Genomic DNA, 10,798 nt, shown 5'->3' on the forward strand with positions numbered 1-10,798 from the left:
ATCCTGTCTAGAGAAAATACAGAAATTAGCTGGGTGTGGTAGTGCGCACCTGTAGTCCCAGCTACTCTTGAGACTGAGGCAGGAGAATCACTTTAGCCTGGGAGGTCGAGGCCGCAGTGAAGGGTGATCGTGCCACTGCACGCTAGCCTGGGTGACAGTGAGACCCTGTCTCAAAAAAAAATGTTTTAGATGAAGAGATTATTTCATTTTTTGAAGGTGGTACAGCAGTGAATACATTTCTGGCCCTACTGTAAACAAGAAAATTCAGGCTATCAGTATGAACTTAACAGAATATATTACAACATTTATTAACTAGATGTATGGTGGTTTATTACCAAGTCAACAGGTATAAAAGGAGTAACAGTGGGGTTTGTTGGAGAAGAGGCAAAAATTTCTGTATGGTATTAATTGCAACTTGAGTAGTTTGGAGGCTTCAACAGTTTGACAATGATTTCTGTTCCATACTACATCTATTCCTGTTTTACTTCTTTGGGATTACTACTTCCCTCTTTTAAAACTCCTCACATTCCCTAGCTTGCCCCTTCTCCCAAAAGATAGGGTGGGTAAAACAAGCACAAAACTGTTAACCCTTGATCCTAGTAGCAGTTCTAGGAGGCAGCCTCCCTCTAAAGCTAATATCAATATTCTGTTTAAAACACTCATTTAATTTGATCTCATCTGCTCAAAATTTCTTGTTGCTCTTAGTGTAAATTAAGCAGTGAATATTCTTTACCACACTTAGAATGTGACAATACACACTGGTGTCCAGTTGATTAACTTGGATCCATTCGAGGAAATTCTAGAGTCCATGTCATTACAGAAATTGCCTGTATTTTTTTCTAGATATTGTTAATTATTAATCTGTATTGGACTTTTAAGGGGCTTGTATTATAAGGACTGGCTATAAACAGGTTTTTATTTGAATTAACAGAGGTTTCTTTTGGCTTCCTTTTATTTAGGTAGCGGATACCCCAGCTAAGTGCTTGTTAATTTAGTTGATAACTATATCAAAATATTATTCTGTCTCTGTACACAGTGGATGAAAGGTTCTAGAATTGTTTCAACAATGTGTTAGGTTGGTGCAGTTTTTGCACCCACCTCAAAATGGCAAAAACCACAATTACTTTTGCACCAACTTAATTTAGCAGCAGGCTTTCCAATTAGATGTTTTCCTAGGTGTCACTGAGGGCCGAACTTGGAAACAGTGCATTCACTATGCTGTTCCCCACACTGGCTAGAATTGTTCTTGTAATAGGTTTGCTACCATGTATGTAGACATAATAAAGTGGATTATGACAATAGCCCTTTTTCCAATATTGTAAACTCTTTTTAATGTAGTTATAAATATATTAGCAATGAATTTAAATAATTTAAAAAGCTTCAAGATGAGCGTACTGTTTCTTACAGTTTGGAAGGAAGGAGGCAGTTTCAGATTTGAAACATCTTTAGTGGTTTTCTAGTAAATGATGTATGTAAGTTCTGAAATAGGTTGTTCCTTTGTGGTTTTAAAAGATTTACATAATAGTTCTAGAAAGTTCTTGGATCTTATGAAAGTGTTAGCATGTTATTTCATAATTAAGAAACGTGAATTGTAAATACCATCCAGCTTTTTATTATACCAGAATGATTTAGTTGTTTTCATAGAATTTATACTTTATGGACCAATTCTCCCCATACCTAGTGACTTTAAATAAATAATTTAAAATTTACTGGAGATTTCATTCTTTACATAATTAACTTGCTCCCATAATTTAAAGTATATATTGTACTTTTACATATCAGGGATTTTCTGAAACAGTTTGCAATAGAAAATACTTGAAAGAAAAAAGGGTGGTTCTTTTGGTATTTCTTAAAATCAGTGAATTCTAAGTTTCAATTCTTTTTTTTTTTTTTTGAAACAGAGTTTCACTATTATTGCCCAGGCTGGAGTGCAGTGGCACAGTCTTGGCTCATTGCACCCTCCACCTCCCGGGTTCAAGCAATGCTCTTGCCTCAGCCTCCCAGGTAGCTGGAATTACAGGCTGTGTCACCACGCCTGGCTAATTCTGACGGGGTTTCACCATGTTGGTCAGGCTGGTCTCGAACTCCTGACCTCAGGTGATCTGCCCACCTTGGCCTCCCAAAGTGCTGGGTTTACAGGTGTGAGCCACCATGCCCGGCCCTAAGTTTCAGTTCTTGAAGAGAGAGTGTTGATGTATAAAGTGAGTCAGTCCACATACTGTAGAACATAGGTCATTTGTTGAAGTTGGGTTGACGTGACAGTAGGGTGTTAGGTTGGGTTTAGTCTTTTTCCTAATCCACTACTGCCACTTCTTTGCAAATACACATTTCAGATCGTCCCTACCAAGATTGGCAAAGGGGGTGTGGGAGGGGTGTCATTGAATACACTCTGGACCTTTTCCCACTCTGATCAATGTCCACATTTTTAGGGTGGTGGTCTGTCATCTTTAGTTTGCTTGTAGTTTCTTATTTTAATCACTCAGAATCGTTTCTAGTGTGAAACGTTAAAACAAAACCATAGAATAAACCACACTTGGATATCTTAATTGTGCTTTAAAAAAAAACACACACACACATTTGAGTAAATATTTTTGTATCTGAAATTTTCAAATTTAAGTATATCATACTGTGATTTGGACCAAATTTGCCCCATTCCCCCCTCCCCCCGACTCCCCGATAATTGCAAACACTGGGCTTAGAACACTGCGTTTGTATTTCCTTTTACTGGTTGTGGGTTTCTCTAACAACTTTGTTCCACAACATTAGGGTCAACCAGAAGCAAATAGCTGGATTCTTGGGAAAGAGGAATTTAATCTAGATTTCCTCAATCTCAAGCTTGAAATTTTCTTCAGCACCAAAAGCCCAGGTAGATTTTTAAAGCTTTGTTTTTGGTTGGAGGTGATACCCAGCTTAAGAAAATTTTGACACTGGGTGACCCACCACTAGTTTAATAGTGAAATTACCCTTTATCCATAAATAAACTTTAGAAATATTTTTTCAACACCTGTAATTTTTTTCTCATCTTTAACAGTCACAGTTGCAGATTATATTTCTAGAGCTGAGTCTCAGAGCAGACAAAGAAACCTCCCAAGGGAAACTTTGGCTAAAAACAAGAAAGAAATGGTAAGGAGAATTTAACCTGTAGGTTTTTTTTTTTTTTAATTTTTGGTATGGTTTAGCTTTATTTTTTTACTACTTTTACTGTGTGATCACTTGTTTCCACAAATAGACAATACTATTTTAGTTAAAGACTCTTGAATATGTTCTTGGCCCCAGGTAACTAAAGATATGCATGCTTGAGCCTGAAATACTTTTTAGTTAGAGCTTCAAATAGCATTTATAAAATTCATTCTGCCCAAAGATACTGGGCATAGAGACTATTGCCTAATTCAGGAGCAATAGGCTATATACCTCTTCTCATTGATGGATATAGACCTTTTAAATTTTAGTTCTTTTAAATGCTTTACAGTATTTGATATGTAAATGTGATTTCTCAAAATAAGGTGAGTAAAGTAGGTGATTATTTGTTTAATATTAACTGTTTATGTCATTTTCATGGTGAGCTTTCCAGTGTTTTAAAATTAGGTACAGTTTTCATTAGTTTAGATGTTTTCTGTGGTTTGGGCACTGCTAGGTACTAGAGATACAAAGTTGAAAGACCCATAGAGTGGAATACTTTGTTATTTGTTTTGAATTTTAAAGATGTTTTAATACTTTGATCCATTGTGGTATATAAAACTGAAATTTTTAATTAGCTAATTAGTGTTTATGTAGCTGTTTTCCTCCTCAGCTATAGATTTCATTTATAAAGAAGTTGAAAAAGTTGTCTCCCTTTGGCAGGCAAAAGATGTGATTGAAGAGCATGGTCCTTCAGAAAAGGCAATAAACGGCCCAACTAGTGCTTCTGGCGATGACATTTCTAAGCTACAGCGTACTCCAGGAGAAGAAAAGATTAATACCTTAAAAGAAGAAAACACTCAAGAAGCAGCAGTCCTGAATGGTGTTTCATAAACTGAAGAAGTTCCTAGTTTACAGTTCTTTTACATTACATTTACAATAGTGCTTGTACAAGCTTGCCAAAGATAGAATATGGATCGCCAGTCTTTACATCGCACTTTCAGTTCCTCCATTTGGAATTCAAAAAGGGGAGGGATCCTGAAGAAATCATATGTTAAACATACTTTGACACCTACTGTGTTATAAAATATATCATCAGATGTGCCTTGAGAATAGTATATGTAACATTAAAAAAAAGTTGCTGGCTATAGGAAATGTTATTTTGTTTTCAAAATATGGCAGAGATGGGGGGTGGTGGGTGGGGTGGGATCCCTAACGTAATATTCTTTATGAAAGCATTAGCTGCTTTTGTTACATTTTTAATATGCAACCACTTCTTCACCTGAGGAAAACTAGAATGAAATGCAGTCTAAAATATTTTGCACTGAATTGTAATTTCTTCATTAGTTTAGTCTGGAAACTGGTCTGTTTTAATGTGTTTTTTAAATGCTGTATGTAGAGGAAAATCTGCAGACCACTGGAATACATTTGTTAAACTCTCATCTGCAGGGACACTGGGCGATACTTGGCAGTGACTGTTCTACCTTGAGGCTTTGTTTGGTTTATTTATTAAAGTGTACAGTATTTAAAAATCAAACATAGCTTTAGTTAAAACACTAAGCTGAATTAGTCATGTCCATTCAGACATAACCTGAACTACTGAAAAGATCAATTTCCAGAAGGTTTATTCTGTATAAACTACATGTTAGTCTTCAGTAGAGTATCTTTTTTTTTTCCTTTTTTTTTTTTTTATTTCGGTTGTTTGATGTGCAATATGTTTTTGTATGCAGGTAGTAAATAAACTTTGATCTTCCATTTGCTGAATTTTTTTAACTTTCTACTTTTTACACCAATTGTTGCAAAATAGTTGGAGCTATTAATAGGCTTAGGATAGTATACTTTGCTTTTTAAAAAGCATTTATACTTGCTCATAAATAGCATTAAAATGTCAGTTGGCCATTTAATCATTTTGTAATGAATCATCTGAAATCTTTACACAAGTTTAGGCTGTTAGATGCATAGGTAATTAATAATACATGTGATAATTAGCAAAAAAACCTAACAAAATTCTAATCAAAGGCAACTTTGGAAGACAATGGGGGATAGAAGGGATGACAAGCAATTTTTAAATAATAGGCCAATGATTTGCTTTATTCATTCTCAACTTATTTTGAAGGCTCTCATATCAGTGACCAAAAATCAGTTATTAAACTTTATGTATATATTTTAGCCAGAGCTTAATTTTTATGAAGATAAAGACATGAAGTTTAACAATGGACAACAGTTAGTACAGCTAATTGTGAGGTCAAGTAATTGTTAGACATAGGGGAAGGCTTTGTTCCACAATATTATATGGACCACTGAACAAGAATGACAGCCCTTTGTTATCACTTGGCATATGAAAAGTGTTGTGTGCATAGTTTGTGTTAATTTTTTATGTGCATAAAAATGTGATTTTAATTTATATGCTCTGAAGGATAATTCAGGGTATAGTTAAAAATGTACAATGTGCCAGTTCAGTATATATAACCCTAGCCCTCAAATTATTCTGATTAAGGTTAAAATGTGCTGGTATTACGTGCTTTTTCCTGAGGCCTTCTGATTGGTTCTTGGTAACAGAATTTTAAAGTAAGGTGTGAGTAGTGCAACTCCTGTCCTTTATATATAAAGATATCAAGTAATTTCATGTCCTGATATTTAAAAAAATTACCCACAAATGTGTTTTTTTAAATCGATCAAAGCTAGCAACAGGTTAAATTGTCTCAGTTCTCTTACATAATTGGGTTAAAAATTATAAGGTATTAGAAGAATTTTAATTAATGCCAAATTGGTAAATATGGTGTAAAAAAAAAAAAAAAGACTTTTCATTTTCTCCCACATAGAATAGTCAGATATATTAAACATCCCTTTTCCATAAAGATGGTTTCAATGGGAATGGAAGAAACAAAATCTTAAAAGAGTGAGTATAGCTGAACCAATTCTTCATTCTAGCAATAACCACACTAAGTTCATTACTTTACAAATGACTAAACCCAATGTCTTGTCCTTTAAAAAATATAGGTAGTGCAGAATTGTGATAAATACGCATTTGTTTTTTTAGAGAGCCCCACTCCCCAAAGGGTAGCCATTAATTCAGGTAGCCTTTTAAATGTATTTGAGAGGGTTCCGTCTTTTTGGCTGCTATCCTAGTTAGGTGAGATGTTGCTATGGGAAGAACTTGCCACTATACACTAAACAGACACTTAAGCAAAAGATGTATTCTGGAGCCTGGCACAGTAGCTTATGTCTTTGGTTCTAGCTACTCAGGAGCCTGAGGTGGGAGCATCATTTGAACTCAGTTCTGGGCCACTGAGACCCTCTTTAAAGAGAAGGAAAAAAAGGTATTCTGGAAGATCTTGTGCAGTTGCAACAATGTTTCAGCATATATATGTGAATTCATATATGACACCTGAACGGAATCATGAAGTAACAGCTGAGATTATATGGTGGCAAAAATGACCTGCTTTTCCTGAAGCTTTGGGAGGCCTAGGATTCTTGCTTTAGGCATCACCTTTGTTAAGCCTTAAAGGGGGCTACAACTTGTGCAAAATGGTGTCTCTGGTAACACTTCAGAAATAATTGGCAAAAGTGTAATAGGAATACACAAATCTTTATTTTGAAATAATCTTGTATTTTAATGTGGAATTAGAAGCAGCACATCAAACTGGTGAGTTCACAGAAACTTACCTGAGATGATGCTGGGTTCCATTGCTGTTGTGCTAAGTCACGTATTTTTGTAGCTGCTGTTAGCTGTGTCTAGCGTTTTGTAACCTAAGGAGGGTCTTATAGAAGTTGGTATGTTAACTAAATCTTGGACTGGGAAACAGCACCATTTGTATCCTCTGCAAACAGATTTACGCTTTTGAGGCTCAAACCAACTAGTGTTCTCATGGGCTGTTGCCTAAGGACAGATAAACATGGAAAACAGGCTATGTCCAGGGACAGATGATTGGTGGTTAAGAATTACAGTAAAGGAAAATTACACCTGGATTTTCTTCTGTAAAGTTTCAAGGAACTTGGATTTGAACTGTGAATCTACTGTTTTGGCAAAAAATCTCAAAGAAAAGGATGTTTGTTACTGTCTCAGTCTTCCTGTCTTTGCTACACGATTTGGATCCCTTACGCTTTTTCGTTAAGAATATCTGTCTGCTATAGTGAATTTGCTAGCCCCTTATTTTTTTTTTTAATTTTAGTTCTTTATTAGAACGTGTACTTGAATGGACTGTAGTTGCTCATAACCCATGTTAATCTCTGATAGTATTTGGGTTTTATTTCAGGAGCTTTTGCAATAAAGCAGTAACTGCAATCTGCTAAAGTCAGACTGTTAGCAAGTGGTGTTAAAACTGATTTAAGTCCATTACACTGAACAGTAGGAAATTACCACTTTTGTAAGGCTCAAAAATGATCAACTATTAACAGTTTCTTATGGTTCAGTCTAATTACAAATTTTTAAAAAGTTTATCAGTGTATCATTTCAGATTCATCTGTATCTTCTGTAATATTATTTCCAGTACTGAGGTAAGGTACACAAAAATTCCCCTGGAAAAACTATATTCTAGTTTTGTAAGATGATTTCCCACAGTCCATTTGCTTATTTCTTCCTTTGATAATTCAAAAAGATGCTTTAGGTAATGGTACAGAATTAGAAGCTGCTATTTTAGCTCTATTAACTTTTTCTCTATGGTTTCAATTTTATCCAACCAGAGAGGGCTGGCCTAGTTGGTATCTTTAAGGCCCTTCCAGTAGTAATTTGAGTCTAGTCACATGTCAGACCCTGAGCAACACCTAACCAAATGCCCAAGTATTCTCATAAGGAGTATGCTGAATTTAAGTGGTGTTTGTTTTACATATGTATCCATCCCAGACATTTTCAACTATGCTGAATGCAATCTATAAGATATTCCAAACAAGGACAAAGTAATTTTTCACAAGTCTTACAGCCCCACTATTAAGTATGCTACTAATTAGCTTCTTGAATTTCTTTGTATTTCAGTGATTGGGATGTTCTTTTTTTTTGGGAAAGTTTTTTTACCCCTTTGTACCCTCTTAATTGGATTAACTGTAAAATGTACATATTAATTTTCTAGTTTTAGAGACCATTTTCATTAAAAATATTTTCCAATAGTTTTTCTAGATAAACAATTTATACTTAATTGTTGCTTGGTTGCTTACATTTCAACCTCTAGGCTTCCTTTTTCAGCTAACTTGGCTGTCTTCAGGTTGTAAAGAAAAATGTAAACATATATTTGAAATTTCATTAACTGAAACTGCTGTAAGGTGTTAGCAAATGTTAACCATAACAGATTATCCCATATCATTGGACTGTTCTATTATTGGGTCAGGAATAATAGGTGACACAGGATAGAAGCTCTTCCTATATATATCTTGTTGCTAAGGCAGTAGTTGGCTCTAAGCTGATAAACAGCACACTGTACAGCAGTCCAAAAACTAAAACCAGAGCTTAGGTCATTCAAGTTAACTGGTACTCAAGGTTACTCATTCCAGGATACTTTACATAACCAAAAACCTAGGAGAGCATTCTACATTGTAATTTTTTTTTTACTTTGTTTACATAAAATTTACAGGGTTTTGTTTTTTTAAGCTTAGTCTGTTCTTTGACATTGTTGATTCATGTTCTAAATTTTCATCAGATTTAACATGTTTGGAGGTTCTTGTGCACTCAATGTGAACCTACTACAAGCTTCTGAACTGCAAAACCTTTTTTTTAGGTCACTGTCAACAGAAAGATGCCTTATAGAATTTCTCATGATTGAAACAGAACTCTGCATTCTAACCTAAAACCCCTCTAACCCTTTAAATGAAGCATTATGCCTGCGTGAAATTTTATTTTTAGACATTTCTGATACTAGGTTTTCTTTACGGGGGGGCATACATATTCAGTATACTGAATTTATACAGCTTTCAGTGTGGCAATATATTAAGAAGCTAGTTCCCTAATTTTTCTCAGTTCTCATTGGTTTTCCATTTAAATGTTTCCGTAAGTACTCTCATCATTTGGAAAATACTTGATGGCAGGAGAACTTGCTTAAAACTAAAGGTGGAGAAAGAGTTAACTTCCAGGACAACCCATTATAGCTCACTTCTTACCAACAAAGCAGTTTTTATACAGCACCTTAGGACTCATTTCTAATGTCAACCCAGATGGCCAGTAAAGGCAAGGGAAGAGGCTAAGTGACTCACAAAAATCTCTGATATTGAGGTCTAATGTGAAGGCTATAGATAGGAATTCCCCACAAACTTCTAATGAGGACTAATATGAACAGCAAATTGGAGAAGACACCAAGGACCTAATTTTAGTTTCACTAGCCGTGGGACCTTAGAAAAAAGACCATTTGCTCTGGACTTTTGTTTCCCAAGCCATAAAATGTGGAAGAATCTTCACAATTTCAAGTTGGTCATGTATATTTCCCTTTTACAGAGAAAGCTGAAGCCTCGAGGCTCAGATTTACCTGGCTTCTGTTTACCTGGCTTCTGCAGAAGTTTAACTTGTAACCTACCTCTCATTCCCAAAGTGTGTTTAATCATGCCGCCTTCTTTAAAATATATCTGGAAGCACCAATGAGTAAAGACAAAGGCCCCAAGCTAGATCTGTAGAGATAAGTACTAGACTCACATCTCAGTACTATCAAGGAAAACATGCTTAGGTTATCAGAATTGTGAAGGCCATAGTACAAAAAGTTAAGAGAACGGAACTCAGGATCTGAGAAAGATCAGCCATTCTCAGCATGTTGCCTTGGCTGCTTAACCTTACTAAACTTCCATTTCCTCACATGTAAAATGTACATCATAATAACTAGTCTACTGAGATAAGGGAAGAATACTTAGCACAGTGCTAGTACACTGTAAGTACTCAAATGTTACAGATCCAAGTATTTTGTAAGAAAATACCAGCAAAAGATAAAAGTTTTTTTATGGATCGTATTTGTATCAATCACCTACATGATCTAGAGCCCTCACATGGATAACATTTAAATGTTCAGTTTGCCTAATAGCCTTCAATGAAACACGGATTCTTCTACTTAAAAAAGGTAAGCCTGGAGAAAATAAAACTGATTACTATGCAAGAAAAAAATGTGCTCTGCTGTGCTCCTTGGTATTTTTAAGTGGTTTCCATTGTCTTAACACCTGTCTTAAAACGGGTATGTTGTTTGCACTGAACCCTCAAAAGTATTTATACCTATTAAGTTAAATTTCCCTTTTTAGAGTTAATGCTTCATTGCCTGTCGGCATATTATCACTATCTGTCTTTGAAAAATTTTCTTTTAAGTCTCAACTATTTCTTCATAAAGCTCTTGTTCAGAGAAACATTTTTTGATTTGTCCAATGGACTGAAATAAAAGGTTAGTAAACCAAAATACAGTTGATCCTCATTATTAGTAGAATTCCTTATCTGTGAATTTGCCTACTCACTAAAATTTGTAACTCCAAAATCAACATCCTTTTCTGGTCATTTGTGAGTATTTGCAGAGTGACAAAAAATTTAAACCACTTTATGTGCACAAGGCAATGCTCTACCTTGTTTAAGCTCTCACACCATAAACAGATATCCTTTTTGTGGTCTATTTAGTGCCAAGTTTCATGTTTGTGCTTTTTGTTGGTGATTTTGCTGTTTTAAGATGGTTCCTAAGAGTAGTAGTGAAGCATGCTACCTAGTGTTCCCAAATGCAAAGAAGGCCGTGAT

The 10,798-nt window shown here is 35.2% G+C and overlaps 1 protein-coding gene across 10 annotated transcripts in view; it reads left to right on the forward strand.

Annotated features, from left to right (window-relative positions):
* FXR1 (FMR1 autosomal homolog 1) overlaps nucleotides 1-10,472 on the forward strand; it is a 70,084-nt gene extending 59,612 nt beyond the window's left edge. For 5 of the 10 annotated variants that reach the window (NM_001013439.3, NM_001441509.1, NM_001441510.1 and 2 more), the window contains 2 exons: nucleotides 3,032-3,123; nucleotides 3,841-10,472. In NM_001013439.3, the coding sequence (NP_001013457.1) occupies nucleotides 3,032-3,123; nucleotides 3,841-4,011 (263 nt within the window). In that variant the 3' untranslated portion in view covers nucleotides 4,012-10,472. The remainder of the gene's footprint in view (nucleotides 1-3,031; nucleotides 3,124-3,840) is intronic. The other 5 variants (NM_001441513.1, NM_001441514.1, NM_001013438.3 and 2 more) reach the window with 1 other exon arrangement.

The sequence above is a fragment of the Homo sapiens genome, chromosome 3 (assembly GCF_000001405.40).
Source record: "Homo sapiens chromosome 3, GRCh38.p14 Primary Assembly".
Classification (NCBI taxonomy): Eukaryota; Metazoa; Chordata; class Mammalia; order Primates; family Hominidae; genus Homo; species Homo sapiens.